General features: G+C 48.9%; 1 long non-coding RNA gene across 1 annotated transcript in view, besides 1 other annotated feature; it reads left to right on the top strand.

The window, feature by feature from the left end:
• The window catches only part of LOC105377161 (uncharacterized), a 134,312-nt gene that overhangs the window by 112,245 nt on the left and 6,450 nt on the right, over positions 1–15,617 (top strand). The window contains exon 10 of the long non-coding RNA XR_940962.3: positions 2,454–2,636. This is a non-coding gene — a long non-coding RNA (uncharacterized LOC105377161). The remainder of the gene's footprint in view (positions 1–2,453; positions 2,637–15,617) is intronic.
• Positions 12,810–13,637: an enhancer, noted in NCBI's record as "NANOG-H3K27ac-H3K4me1 hESC enhancer chr3:72639711-72640538 (GRCh37/hg19 assembly coordinates)". NCBI's record gives its function as "activates a minimal SCP1, AML or CMV promoter by ChIP-STARR-seq in primed H9 embryonic stem cells {active_cell/tissue: H9 hESC(primed)}" and the evidence as "EXISTENCE:reporter gene assay evidence [ECO:0000049][PMID:30033119]".

Here is a 15,617-nt window from a genome sequence, read left to right as displayed (position 1 = left end):
ATTTCTGCAGACACTTTAAAGGATAAGTTTTATTTCTGCATCTGGAATCGCAGACTTTCTCAACTCTCCAGGAAAGAGGTTTTTGCCATACTACCAGATCCTACTGAATCATACTACCAGAAACCCACTGAATAGCGGGGAATGAGAGGAAAGGTGTGACTTGGAACTAGCCAGTGGCTTTTGTGCCCAGTCTGTTTTTCCTGCAATGCTTTGGATTTCTGATTTGAGCTCCATTTCTGGAACTCTGTGTAGGAACCAGGTCATGTATGAGAGGAGCTAAGGGGACCTTGCCAACTGGTAATAAGTGAAAGGAAGACTGTTCTAAAAGAAATAAGATTGCTGCTACCTCAGGAACCAGGAATCCAATCGCTACCCTCCATTCCTGCTGCCACTGCCCTGATCCAAGACACTGGCTTCTCCTCCCAGGTATGCCTCAGTGGCTTCTGTGAGATACCTGTGCCTTTCCCAGCAATATCCATTCTCCTCCTTTTTCGTAGGGAACCCCAATTTTGTTGGTGATGGCAATGTACCAAGCTAAAAATTACCTTCCCAGCCTCTCTCAGAGATGAGGGTATGTATTCATTATTCATTGCTGCATAGAAAATTGCCACAAACCTGGCTGCTTAAAACAATGTACGTGGGACTGGGAGCAGTGGCTCACACCTGTAATCCCAGCACTTTGGGAGGCCAAAGCAAGCAGATCACTTGAGGTCAGGAGTTCGAGACCAGCCTGGCCAACATGGCAAAACCCTGTCTCTACTAAAAATACAAAATTAGGCAGGCACGGTGGTGCATGCCTGTAATCCCAGCTACTCGGGAGGCTGAGGCAGGAGAATTGCTTGAACCCGGGTGGCAGAGGTTGCAGTGACCTGAGATTGCACTGCCACACTCCAGTCTGGAAGACAGAGCAAAACCCTGTCTCAAAAAAAACACAAAAACCAAAAAACATACATGGCCAGACATGGTGGCTCACGCCTGTAATCCCAGCACTTTGGGAGGATCGTTTGAGGCCAGAAGTTTAAGATCAACCTGGGCAACAAAGCAAGACTCCATCTCTACGAAAAATATATATATTTAAACACACACACACACACACACACACACACACACACACTCTCTCTCTCTCTCTCTCTCTCTCTCTCTCTCTCTCTCTCTCATTATCTCACAGTTTCCATGGGTCAGGAATCTGGGCGCAGTTCAGCCAGGTCCCCTGCTTCTGGGTCTTTCATCAGTTTGCAAGCAAGATGTCAGCCATAGCTGGCATCTCAGCGGGAGGTTTGATTGAGAAAAGATCTGCACCCAAGCTCACATGGTTGTTGGTGGAATTTGGTTCCTGGGAGGGCTGTTTGATCGAGAGTCTCAGTCCTCACTGGTTGTTGACTGGAAGCTGCCTCCATTTCTGGCCATGCAGGCCCTTCCAACATGGCAGCTATCTTCATCCGAGTGCACAAGCTGAGAAGGCAAGAGAGAGAGTCTGCTAGCAAGACGGAGGTTATAATCTCTTGTAACCTAATCATGAAAATGACAACTCATCACCTTTGCTGTGTTCTGTTGGTTAGAAGCAAGTTGTTTCTAACCGCCATATCATGCTGCTGTTGTTTGAGCTCCTGGGGTCAGCCATGCTTGAAGTCCCTCAATCCCTGGACTTTTCAGTTACAGGAAACAAGAACCCTCTCCCCCGCTTTTTTAGCTGGAGCCCACGTGAGCTGAGTTTTCCATCACTTGCAACAAAAAGAGAATATTCTAATACAGTAGGCTTCTATAAATATTTGATGAGTGGATTTAAAGGAAGTGCTGAAGAATTGATAAGCAATTTTAGAACTCTGAAGGCTCAAGAGCCTAGGAATAACACCCAAGGGTTGGCAAACTTTTTCTGTAAGCAGCCAGCTAGTAAATATTTTAGGCTTTGCAGACCACACAGTCTCTGTTGCAACTAATCAGCTCTGTGTTGTAGTGTGAAAGCAGCCCTTGACAATACAGAACTGAGAGTGGCTGTGTTCCAATAAAACTTTATTTACAAAGTCAGGCAGCAGGTGGGATTATCCCACAGGCTGTAGTTTGCTGACCTCTGCCATAAGCTACTGGCAAGTGTGAGAAGGATTGTTAAGTGTTTCATACTGAAAAAAAAAAAAATCTGAGCAGGCTGGTGACCTTGGGGGTTGCTGCTACAAGGTTGGATGATGTTTCTTCTCAATCTCTTCATATCTGTCAGTCCTCTCCTCTTTTCCCAGTCCCGTCAGTGCCTGAAGGGCTTTGGTAAAAGGGAGAGGACATCCAGGTCCTCGGTGGCTTCACATTCATCCCACCCTCCATCACTGGGTTGGCCACAGGTGTCGTCATCCCCAGCCTTACTTTGTTCTCTTCCCTTCCTGTCATCCTCAACTTTTTTCTTCTGTTCTTCTTCATTCACGAACATTTTATTCCTTCTTCCTTTTGCCCCTTCTTCCATCCAGATAGCAAGGAGGGTGTTCAGAAAGAGGAGAGAGAGGAAGCTAAAGAGAAAAGTAAATGAAACCAGAATGGCCTTCTCCCCAGGACCTCCATCCTGAGCCTTGCAGCGAGAGTGAAGAAGCATCTGAGCTGTCCTCCAGGGACAAGCAAGGAAAAGGATCCCCCATTTTGGGGAGAATCACGTGGTAAGATGGGCATTCCTGTGGGAGTGGGGCCTTTCTCCTAGAATGTAAGCTCCAGGAGGGCAGGGACCATGTCCCCAGTCCATCCCTAAAGCCTGGTGTGGTGCCTGCACTCAGATATAGAGCAAAGAGTTGCTGAATGAATCAGTGAGCAGAGCTCTTGCAGCTGGTGTTCTGAGTGATTTCTCCAATGAAGGCTCACTTTATTTTCAGGCTGCTATAGACTCTGCTTCCTTAGCTTAGCTCCAGGCCAGCTGCAAAGACTCTCTAAGCTGGAGGCAGGAGGGGTGATTCTGTCCTGTGTAATCTTTTTAAGTGACTTCTTTGGAAAAGGCTTTGCATGCATTAAACACTGGGTTCGCAGAGTCTTAGGCATCTTTCAGAGGCAGTGTCAGGCAGCTGCTGCCAATAGGGACCACGCGAGGCTGGGTGAAAGATGGATGAGGGATTATCTCCTCTCTGTGGAGCCAAGGAGGGACAGAGCCGAGGGCTGCTACCGCACAGTCCTCAGAGTGACCAGGCCCCTCATGGTTTCCAGAAAACACTGAGTGTTCCTCCTTCTCCCTCAGGCACAGTGTGGCCTTGCAGTCAGGAACACAGATTTGATACCTAAATGCCTCAGCAACAACCCTACCACCTTCTCCTATTAGCTGTGTGACCCTGAGCAGGTTCTGTTCCCTCTCTGTGCCTCTGTCCTCTTCTCTGTGAGTTGAAACACTGACGGTGCTTCAGACTTAACGTTTTCACACGGGGTTCTGTTGTAAAGTCAGCTGGAAGTCCAAAGTACCCTTGAAAAATGCTCTAAATCACCCTTAAATTTGGTCTATGAGATTTTATATTATCTACAGCTCTTAGAGAAATTTCCAGGCCCACTAAAGGACCCAATGAGAAGTCTCTGTGCAAGTGTCTGGGAAGTCAAATCATTCAGTCTTCCAGACAATTACCATCCCCTGGCAGTGGCTGGTGGTGGAGTGAGGACTCCTCAGGTGTTCTTGCCTGAAGGCTTTTCTCCATGCTAGTTTCATAGCTTCTATAATCGTCATACATGTGAATAACTGTTTTGTTTGGAATTGGAAAGATCAAAGAAAGAGCGGTGTTGCATGGGCTGGGGGTGGAGTGGGAGTTAGAAAACTTGAAAGCCTCAGAAATTTGTCCCATAGATTAAATGAGATACTGCATGGTCCATGTGTAGGGCAGTGGTTGGCTCAAAGTAAGTGCTTGATAAAAGATAGGTTTGGGTCTAACATTATTGTTATTATTATGTCTTTGGAACCTCAATTCCACCTGGCCTATAATTATTTAGACAATGTAGTGGATGCTGTGAGCGCATCCCCTGCGCTCCACCCTTGGGTCCCTTTGCCGTTTTCAGAAAGGCCAGCTCTCACTCCGGCTAGCCTGCACCTGAGTCTCTGTCGAGGGGGCTGTCCTCAGGCTGCTGCAGCCAGTGGAGAGTGGAAGTGCCTGGGAATTTATGGTCTACTCAGCTCCCTCACCCTGATCTTCCCAGTGGGGACAGCTCTGAGGCTCAAGCCACACTGTCCCCAGCACTCCCCTGCAGGATGGAGACAAAAGTACCCTCTATTTGTCTCCTTGTTCCCCAGTTCTATCACCCCACTTCCTAATAAGTCACTTTCACACGAACCCTCATTTCCCACTCTGCTTCTGGGAACTCGGTCTAAGAAAGAGAGGTGCTGGGATTTTCCATATTGTGCGGATGGAAACCAATGTGAGGAATAGTGCAGAGAGGAGAATAGAGAAAAGAAGGAAACACTGGGAAAGAAAGGGACAGGGGGAATCAGAAAATGGGGTGGAGGTGACTTCAGGCATTATAGAAAGCACACCAACCCAGACCTGACAAATGGAGAAACTGAGAACTGAGGAAGAGGGGCTTGCCTGAGGGCTCATGACATTGCTAGACGCAGAACTTGGCTGGTACCTGGCTCGCAAAGGTGCCCGGTATGTATTTGTAGAATGAGTGAATTGAATGGATAAGTGGCCAGGACTGCAGTCCCGTCCCCTGAGCCAACAGGCTCAACTGAGGCTTCAGAGAACATTTTGCCCTGCAACATCTGCCACCCAGGTGCCTGACCTTCCCTGCAGATTAGTCTCTGGGTATCTGCTCCCTGCACACCTGGAGGCCTCTGGTTCTGGGGCGCCCCGGCCAAGGTCCCAGGGTGGGCACATCTATATGACCTTGTCATTGGCCCAAACACATGGGGAGGTTATCTCTTCTTCCTTCCTTCCTTTGCCACAAAGGCATTTCTCAGAGATAGCAGAGATCATCTGTCCTGAGCTCCTCAGACTTTCATCTGCACCCAAACCTCCCAGTTGTTCGAATGCAGATTCTGATCCAGTGGGTCTGGGTGGGACTGAGAATCTGTATTTTGAGCAAGCTCCCGGGTGAAGCAGGTGCTGCTCGTCCATGAACCACACTTCGCAAGGTTCTAGGAATGTGCCTTTGTTTGCCTCGCCCCCTGGTCTCCTTACCCACCCTTTAAGGCTCAGCTCGAATGTCACTTCCAATTCCCTCTTGAGTCTTCCTCATTTTTTTTTAACAGGAAGAAATCTTTTGCCATGTCACTTTTTCTGTGCCTCTTAGAACATTTAAGATATGCTCCTCATGGCATGGTTATTTACATCCTGGACTGTGAGCTCCTAAACGGGCTTTGTCTGATTTCATTTTGTAACCTTGCGGCACCTCTTTTGCTCTCTGGTACACTGTAGCGAATGGTCACTTGCCGGTGCCAGGCACTGGGCTCAGTCCCTAGTGAGCATTATCTGGATAATCCTCAAATAGTCTTGTGAGGTAGGTATGAGTATCCCGGGACTCAGAGAGGTGAGGTGAATTGCCTGAGGCCACATAGCTAGTAAGTAGCCAAACCCGTTAAATCTATCTGTCAAACCGGGCATGGTGGCACACACCTGTAGTCCCAGCTACTTGGGAGGCTGAGGCGGGAGGATCCCTTGGACTCAGGAGTTTGAGTCCTGTCTGGGCAACATAGCAAGACTCTGTCTCTAGAAAAATAATTTTAAAATATTAAAAAATCCAGTGATTAAAGCCCAAGCTCTTATGCATTTTATATTTGTTAAAGGAGTGAATAAGTAAACGAATAAATTAATAGATGGATGAATGCGTATTTCAGATGAAAAAATTGATTCTGTGTAAAGTGCTACACTTGAAAGCCCAGGAATGCACAGATTTTAATTTGAGATGGGACTGATTCTCCCCGAATCCCTCCTTCCTTTCAATCCCAAAATTTCCATGAAATTCTTATTCATAACTGAGACCCCACCCACAAAGAACAGGAAACTGACATATTCAGCCACAGCCATTACACTTCTCAACGCCCTCGGGTTTAGTCCCCAACATCTCATCTGTCACTAAATAGGATCTCCCTCCCCCAGAGTATGAAGGGAGAGCTCCCCGCCTCCTGGGGGTGGAGTGGGGGTGGGTGCTGGAAGGCAAAGCTGCCTTTTAGAAAAGCGCAGCGCTGATGTGGAACCAGGCAGCTGTTGGCCTTTATTTCACTGGAGCAGCTTACCTCAGATCATCTCCTCAATCACAGGCCCTTAAACAGCTTCTGACAATCAATTCATATCCCTGCTGCTGCTGCTACTGCTGGGAGGTGGAGGAAAAGAATTACCGTATTTGCCTGTGTATAAGCAGCAGCCTTCTGGTGGCCAGTGACTCCCTGGCATGAGCCAACCTGCTGCCCCGTGGGAGGACAGCACAGGCAAAGTAGCTGACATTGCATGGAGCCCTTGGCATGGGTCAGAGGCCCATGTAAGTCCTTTCAGGGCCTCATCTTGAATTTTCCCCACATTCCTGCCATTCTCCCTCACTCTGATTGGCACACTCCAGCCCCACTGGGCTTTCTCTATACCTAAAATAGACCAAGTTCCTTCATGCCCCAGGGCTTCTGTACTTGCTGCTCCTGTTGGCTGAACAGCTCTTCCCCAGATCTTTGTCTGCCAGGTTTCTCCCCTCCAACTGGGTATCAGATCCCAGGTTACCTTCACAGACAGCCCCCCCCCGACCACTTTGTCACGGGCAGCCTCCTCCTTCCTGCACCATTGTCCTGTTTTATTTTCTTCCGAATGCTTATCACTATTTGAAAGCCTGACTGTGTGTGGGTGCATGTGTGTGTTGGTCTGTATTTCCCCTTAGAATATAAACTCCATGAGTGCAGGGGCTTGTCTTGCTTACATCATCAGCTCCTACTACCATGCCTGGCAAATAGTAGTTGCTGCATGTGGCTTGCTGAGTGAATGAAGGCAGAGCCCCATAATGATCTCTATTGTGAAGGTAGGAAAGTTCAGAGAAGTTAAGTGACTTACCCAAAATCACACAGCAGATAGGCCAACCCAGATGTGTTTGATTGCAGAGAGAGAGAGGAGGTATGTAGTCAGGCTCCCTCCCTGTCTGGGAAGGAAGGAATTGTGCCCAGGGTACCTAAGCATGAGTCCTTGTTTTCCTTCTTATCCCATTTTCTCATCTGGTCCTGAAAGAGTAGGTGACATAGTGGCTCACGTTTAATGGCTTTCTATGTATTATCCTGTTTAGTGCCCCAAGATATTTTTATCCCCATTTTTTGCGCAACTGAGCCAAGGAGGCAGGTCACCTGCTGAACCACATCAAATATCAGCTTGTTAGTGGCCAAGAGCAGGGCTTGCCACCCCCTCCCTGCTTTTCCACGTCTAGGATTGTCTTTGTGGACCGAGCACTGTGGGGAAGCCAGATTATTCTTCTTAGGCCCAGCTTGCTAATGATGGGTGGTGGAGCAGGTGCTCTGCCCTAAAACAGGGGGCATGGGAATGGGGTGAGGGGTGAACAGAGTGTCTAGGGAGCCTGGGCTTAGATGGCAGGTCTGCTGCTCACAAGCTGTGTGAGTCTTCTCTCTGAGCTGCATTTTCTGCACAGCCTCACCTCGCAGGGTGGTGGTGAGGACTGAGTGAGATCAAGCATGGAAAGCTCAGCAAGTGCCCGGCACATGGAAAGCGCTCAGCAAACGGGAGGTGTGCTCAGACATCGGGCACATTGAAGCAGATTGCTGGACCCCTGGAATCACAGCATGGCAGGCTGGCTTCCTTGACTTCATTGCTGTGCCCCAGACCTCCTGGCCTCCTACTCATCCTCCAGGAATCCTCCTTCAGGGAGCTCCTGGGACCTGGGGTTAAGTGCCCCTTTCTGCTTCCAGGCTGAGCTTCTCCATTGGAGACATTTCACAACATCTGTCTGTCTTTTTTGTCTCCACCTTCCCTGCTCAGTCTATTCCTCCAAGCCAGCACCTGACACATACACAGTAGGCCCTCCATAAATATGTGGGTAAAGAATATCAGAAAAAGGGAACAGCTTGGGCAAAGGCAGAGAAGCATGAGGAGGCATGCGTATTTGGAAAAGCAAGCCATTTGGGTGGGAGGTGGGTGGGAAGGTGAGGCTGAAAAGGCATTTGGGACCAGCTCACAGGGGCAGCTGGAGACCTACGAAGGAGTCAGGACCTGATGCAGGGGAGAATGATGAGGAGGCCAGTGAGTAGTGCAGATCAGAGTTTAAGAAGGCTGTGTGAAGGAAGACTGTGGGAGTCGAGGGATGGAGGGGAATGAAGGAGAGTAGATAGGAAACTGTTGCCAGCCAGGGTGATATTCAAAATATTTAACTACTGGTACCAGATCAATGAGACAACTGGTAGGTCATGAGCATCAACCAATCAGAAGCGGCTGGGTCAGGGTCTTGGAGGCCCCTGCTGCACTCAGCATTAACCCTTCAGTGGCTAGCCTGTGGCAATCTGTGGGATTCAAAAGAGGGCCTGAGTGGCCTAGGTGGGGGAAGCCAGGGACTCAGGCCGGTGGATATTTACCAACAGGTGACGGAAATAGTGCAGTACTTTAACAACGATGGTGGCCATATCAGTGCACACATGCTGATGGTCAGCCCTGGCTGGTGCCCCAGTCACAGAAAGGAAGAAGCAGATGTCTGTGAGATTGTTCAGATAACATTGACAGGAGAGCGTGGTGACTGCTTTGGTTCCCATATTGTTATAAGAAACCTGCTTTGTTCAGAGCTCTTTAGGGTGGGTGGAAGGGTGTGATGTCACCCCTTGACCATGTTGGTTGTTTACTTCTGCCTCCTCAAATCCATGCCTCCTTTTCCTTTTTCTGGTACCAGCACCTCAGTCTTCTTTGGAGAAAAATTCTCCTCCTGCTTTTTTTTTTTTTTTTTTGCTCCTCACTGCAGCCTCGACCTTCCCAGGCTCAGGTGATCCTTCCACTTCAGCCTCCTGAGTAGCTGGGACTACAGGCGCACACCACTGGGCCCAGCTAATTTTTCTATTTTTTGTAGAGACAAGGTTTTGCTATGTTGCCCGGGCTGGTCTCGAACTCCTGGCCACTCAAGCTATCCTCCCACCTTGGCCTCCCAAAGTGCTGGGATAGCAGGCATGAACCACCGTGCCTGGCCATTCTCCTGTTTTTAGTCCATCTGGTTTCAGGGTGCAGTGTCACTCAGGTCTGGCCCATCAGCATTTCCATCCACTGGACAGAGCAACTGGTTCAGCAAGGGGGCTGTGATCTGGGTTGGCTCAGTGAGAGTCAACCCTAGGAATGTGATTGGAACTTCTGGCAGAAAGAAGCCACCTTTCTACTGAGACTGCTAAACTAGAGGATCTAAAGCTGGAGGGAACTTGCCTGAAAATGAAACCAACACAGATCAAAAAAGGGCTGAGCATCAGAATTCCTGACAAAAGAACTTAAGCCCCTGGATCCAGCAATGCCTGATGCCTACCCTTGACTTTTAAGTTACTTGAGGCAAAAAATTTGCTTTTTTTCCTGGAACCAGTTTGATTTGGGTCTTCTAATACTTACCAATCCAGTACTCTCCCTTGTGAATTAGGAACTGAGACATAAAGACTGAAGCCTATTTATATTGGCTTAAACTAAGAGGCCACAGAATGCCAGGTTGGAGTGGCCATGTGCTCACCTGAGCACAAATACCGGAGACACAGAGAGAGGTCGCAGAGAGGAACAAAAATGAGACAGAGATGGAACAGATGAAAAGATAGAGGGGGAGATGAGAGACCATGTGGCTTCAGAAAAAATAGGAAAAGCCTTTTCTCTACCCCTGGGGTCTTAGTGGTCTCTGCTTCTGAACCTAAAGGGAGCCTGGCTACATTTCCTGCCCTCGGTTCTTCCCCCAGCTCTCATATCTTCCCCAAAACTGGCCTCCTGGACTTGAATTAGTTTGAGTGGATTTCTTGCCTTCAAATAATTCACAACCAACACAGCAGCTGATTGGATAGGAGAGACAGGGAACAGAAATATACCAAGGATTACATCAGAGATTACATCATGGGGAGAGGAGAGGGAGGAACACAAGGTTGTGGGTGGGGGTGACCCGGAATTAAAGTCTGTTAAGGCCTTTTTATGTGCCTAAAGCCAAGCCTCCTACAAATACTGCAAATTCTTCTCTCCTGGAAACCAAAAGTCCATGCAGCTCAAACAACCAGAATCCCATGATCCTGCCCTGCATGGATGCTCAGAAGGTTGTTGGCCGGCACATGGCTGTATTTGTGCTGATCTGACCCTGGGGATTAAAGGTTTCACTTGCTCGTGCCCTCAGTCAGCGTGCTGGAGGGTTGCCATCCTCCTTTTGATGGCAACCCTTGCCTCCTCATTTCCATCTGCACCTGTCAATCTCACCACACTCACCAGCCTCTTCCTGGCCTCAGTCTCTCATGCCCTCCATCACTGGGTAAAGACCTAGTCACAGCCTCTGCTGCAGCCTTGTACATGTGCCCTGGGCACCACTGTTCCCACAGCCAGGGATGGTGTCCTTGTAGGTGCCTGTCATTCTCTGCCAGGGAGCTTGCTTTGGCCAGGAGCATGCCTGTGGGAGTGGGGTGGGCAGGCCAGGATGCTGGGGCATTGATGCCTCCAGGAGAGGCCCTGGACCAACACCAGACAGGGGTCTGTGGGCAAATACACCAGTTTCTTCATTCCTTAGGTGGGACAATTCTGACTCCTTTTCTAGACTATCTCAAGGTGTAGGGGAGCCCAGCCTAAGTTAAACTGATACATCCCTGCGTCCAGTCATTGTCATTTCTCACCTGGCTTCCTGTCTGGCTGCGCTCTAGTCCATTCTACAGCTGAAGGAGTTTTCTTTTCTTTTTTTTTTTTTTTGAGACAGAGTTTCGCTCTTTTGCCCAGGATGGAGTGCAATGGCACCATGATCTCGGCTCACTGCAAGCTCCGCCTCCCAGGTTCACGCCCTTCTCTTGCCTCAGCCTCCTGAGTAGCTGGGACTACAGGCACCCACCACCACGCCTGGCTAATTTCTTTGTATTTTTTTTAGTAGAGACGGGGTTTCACCATGTTAGCCAGCATGGTCCTGATCTCCTGACCTCGTGATCTGCCTGCCTCGGCCTCCCAGAGTGCTGGGATTACAGGCGTGAGCCATTGCGCCCGGCCAGGAGTTTTCTAAAATGCAAAATTGGCTGGGCGTGGTGGCTCATGCCTGTAATTCCAGCACTTTGGGAGGCTGAGGCGGGTGCATCACTTGAGCCAGGAGTTTGAGACCAACCTGGGCAACCTAGGGAGACCCCGTCTCTACTAAAAATACAAAAAAAATTAGCTGGGTGTGGTGGCATGCACCTGTCATCCCAACTACTCGAGAGGCTGAGGCACAAGAATCGCTTGAACCCAGGAGGCGGAAGTTGCAGTGAGCCGAGATCATACCACTGCACTCCAGCCTGGGTGACAGAGCGAGTCTCCGTCTCAAAAATACATAAGTAAATTAATTTAAAAATAATAAAATAAAATGCAAAATTAATCATTTCCCTCCTCTGCTCCCTATTGCTTTTAGGCAGTGTTTGAACCCCTTACATGGATGACAAAACACCCTGTTAGTCCCTTAGCAGGGTTGCTCGGCCAGCTGTCTCCTCCATCCCCTGCTCCCTTCTCTCACACACAACTCCAGCCATATGCAATCATCGGAAATTGTCCTACGTGCAATGCTTGCCTTCAACCCAGGCCATTGCTGTGCTGTTCCCATCTCCTGGAATCTTCTCCCCCTTTCTCCTTTCCCAGTACCTTGGCCCATCCCATGCTGACTTCTGTCTTCAGGCCTCCTTCCTCTAGAAAGCCTTCCTGACCTCAGGCAGGGTTAGAGTCCATCTCTCCTTGCATCCACAGAACTTTACTCTTGCCCTCCTCACCCTGGGGCAGAGCTGTCTCCTTATCTGCCCTTCCTTCTTGAGCCGTGGCTTTCAGCCCTGGTTGCACGTTAGAAACATGTGGAAGCCTTTACAAAATGCAGATACCTTGGCCCCACCATGGACTAATCACATCGGAATCTCTGCGGGTGGGGCCTAGTATAGGCTTTTCTTAAAAGCTCCCCGAGTGATCCCAATGTGCAAAACCACATTCTGATAGTATGATCTCACGAAGGCAGAGGCTGGGTTTTATTTATTTCATCTTCAGTTCCTGGTACATAGTAGGAGGTCCCTGATAAATGTTGGCTGTGGATATGAATGACAGCTACTGACATGCTGTCATCCTTCTGTGTCAGGTGCTGTTCCAAAGCAATCAATGAATAAACGAAAGAATAAATAAGTGAGTGAATGAATGTATCAGTGAATGAATGAATGAATGAATAAAAGGCCCACCCACATGCAGCTGGGAACTAGAGGCTCCAAAAAAATGTCTGTCCCTCGAGATGTCTAATTGTCTAAAGGCAGTGAATAGCCTCTTGCCAAACTCCTAGCAGAGATTAAGTAGTCATCCAGCCCTGGGGCACGACCGTGGGTGGTCACTGCTGAGCTGCCAAGTCACCAGCAAGCAGGAGCAGCGGCAGCCACAAAACTGGAAACTGGAGTTGGGAGATGGGGGCTGGGAATTCAGCTAGGAAGGAGCCAACGGGCTCCTTATTTAGGAAGGAATTTGTTTTGGTGTTGCGGGTGCGGGGGTTAAAATTCATTGTTTCTGAGGTTGCTGTGAAGAGTTGGGTCCAACCCAGCAGCATGGGGTTGGAGCAGGGTAATTGGAGGTTGCAGGGCCTGGATTTGCAGCTCTCCTCCCAATGAAAATACACTGGAAAGCAAAACAGAGAGGCTGGAAAATCGTCTCCCAGCGTCACCGGCAAGAATGAAAATATATGGCTTAATAAAAATGGCTGATTCAATTTCAAACAAGTGGCTCATACCCACCTCTAAATAGCTGCTGTTAAAATGCAGACTATAGCCCTGTTTTAAATGAGGCCTAAGGTAGGGAGGAAAAAGGCCTCTCTGCAGGGAGGGGCATGGATCTTTGCTGAGGCCTATTTCAGTCTGAAGTTTTTAAATGGAGTCAAATCAAGGTATTGATGTTGCTTTAATTTTTTTTCCTGTCCGCACAAAGTAGGCTCTAAATGGCATTAGCTGTAATGAGGTAACCCTCTATGCTCCCCGGGGTGGGCACCTGAGCAGGGGCCCCCACAGGACTGCCTGCCGCCCTGGGGTGCTTCACGGGGAAGGGCCACCTCCCTTTGTTCTGTCTCCATGGCCAGAATGAACCCAGGCGGAGTCCAGTGGCATTCAGAGCTGCCCCCAACCCAGCTGCCAGTTCCCTGTTATCTGAATTGAAGAGGTCAGAGGTTAAGTGAGAGATCAGAGTCCCCGGGTCAGGGAAAGAAAAACAAATCCCCGGGGCCTCCGCTGTGCTCTTGAAGCGTGTAGGCCGTGCCCTCCGGTGCAGATGGGGGAATATTTTATACCAGGCCCTGTCCTTTTCTGTTACCATGTAAATTGACTGACTTTTTTTCTTTAACCGAGTTAGGGGAATTTCATGGAGGGGAAAAAAAGGATTGCATGGGCATTTGAATTTTTGCTGAAGACCAAGAGTAGCAACTCCAGTTCTGGCCTCAGCTTCATGACAGGAAGCCGTCGTTGACTGTGGGCCTGTTTTCCTCTTTTCAAACAAGTCCAAGAGGTGATAAGGTAAAAAGGGGTCGAGACACTCATGAATGTATTCAGAAACTAGGTGATCGCACCTGCTATCATGGAGAAGGGAGGCACATTTAAAAGCTTGTTATTGGCTTGGCATGGTGGCTCACGCCTGTAATCCCAGCACTTTGGGAAGCCGAGGCAGGCGGATCATCTGAGGTCAGGAGTTTGAGGCAAGTCTGGCCAACATGGTGAAACCCTGTCTCTACTAAAAATAAAAAAATTAGCCAGGCGTGGTGGTGTTCACCTGTAGTCCCAGCTACTCAGGAGGCTGAGGCAAGAGAATCGCTTGTACCCAGGAGGCCAAAGTTGCAGTGAGCCGAGATCACGCCACTGCACTCCAGCCTGGGCAATAGAGTGAGACTCAGTCTCAAAAACACAAACAAAGAAAAAAAGCCTTGTTATTCTGTGGGTCTAAGAAGCTCCTCATCGTTCAGGCTCCTCAATCAGGAAGCAGTTTTGGATTCTTTACTGGGTTCTTAGCCCTGTGCAAAGAGCTGTAAGGGTTACTGGAGGTTAAGATAAGATAATGCCTCTCAAGGGGCATTTTATGTTGTTTTAGAGCCAGAAAGACTTCAGTTCATCCTGGCTCTGATAGTTCCTAGCCATGTGACCTTGGACTGACTCCTCGAAGCCTCTGTTTACTTATCTGTAATATGGGCGTAGTAGGCCCTCCGTCCTCACCACTTCAGTGTACTCTGGCACCTCCATTTCTTCCCCTGGGGGCTTTCTCAGGCTGCCGATGCCCACTTTGCCTGCCCTTGCAGGTGCCAGCAGTGCCCAGGAATTAGTGCCATTCCCACCTACACACAGCCCTCAACCAGCGTCTGGTGGGAATTGGTGAATAAGCACCCCAACTCCTTCACCCCCTGGGTACGGTGATTCTGAGACGCATTCTATGCCACTTCTCAGAATTTCCCCAGCGGGATTTGGCTCTGGTTTTCCCCCAGGGTGAACTTGACTGATAATACACCCTCCCTTCCATGACCTCCCCACTGACCTGCCCATGTTTCTTTAAACTGCCAAGTAAACCAGGTGCTCTGAGTCCCTGTCTCAGGGTTACTTCCTCCGGGACTAAGACAATGGGATCATGAGAAGAAGAAGAAGGATGGTTGTGAGGATATTGCAATTGCTGAACAGTGTGAGAGCATAGAGACTGCTTGGCACAGGATATGTCCTCAAATCAGTGATAACTATCATTCATAAGACTCAAAATGTACCTGAGAGACGACAGCGCTTTACATTGAGAAAGCAAAGCTGCACAGGATTGAGTAGTTGAGGCAACAGGCAATGTAGATATTAAGAGGAGAAAGGGGAGAGCTGAAAAGGAGAAACACTTACGTTAGGCCCCACGAAGAAAGCAGGGAAGCGACTGAGTTACACAGCCACATCCACGGGCACTGGAAGAGCACCTGGCTCACCAAGGGTCCTCAGCGCTCCCTTTTAAGCTTTCAACACCCCTTGATGCTCCCCTCTTAGCATTGAGTCAAAGCTGGAATTCAATAACTATTTGAGGCTGGGCATGGTGGCTCACACCTGTAATCCCAGCTCTTTGGGAGGCCAAGGAGGGTGGATCACCTGAGGTCAGGAGTTTGAGACCAGCCTGGCCAACATGGTGAAACCCCATATCTACTAAAAATACAAAAATTAGCTGGGCGTGGTGGTGGGCACCTGTAATCCCAGCTACTTGGGAGGCTGAGGCAGGGGATTGCTTGAACGCAGGAGGCAGAGGTTGCAGTGAGCTGAGATTGCTCCACTGCACTCCAGCCTGGGTGACAGAGCAAGACTCTGTCTCAAAAAATAATAATAATAATTAATAAATAAATAACTGAAAATTTGGCAAGTTTGAATAACATTCGTCTTTCTTGCACAATTTTAAGATTCTGAAGCGGAGGACAGGCTGTGTCTGTTCAGCATTGTATCCCCAATGCCCAACACACAGCCTAGTATATGTTAGGTCTACAATAGATGAGGAAACAGATACGTGAATGAATGACTGTCAAAGGAAGGG

The sequence above is a fragment of the Homo sapiens genome, chromosome 3 (genome assembly GCF_000001405.40).
Source record: "Homo sapiens chromosome 3, GRCh38.p14 Primary Assembly".
Taxonomy (NCBI): Eukaryota; Metazoa; Chordata; class Mammalia; order Primates; family Hominidae; genus Homo; species Homo sapiens.
Note: the sequence above shows the minus strand (reverse complement) of the source record. Positions and strands in the feature narration are given on the sequence as shown.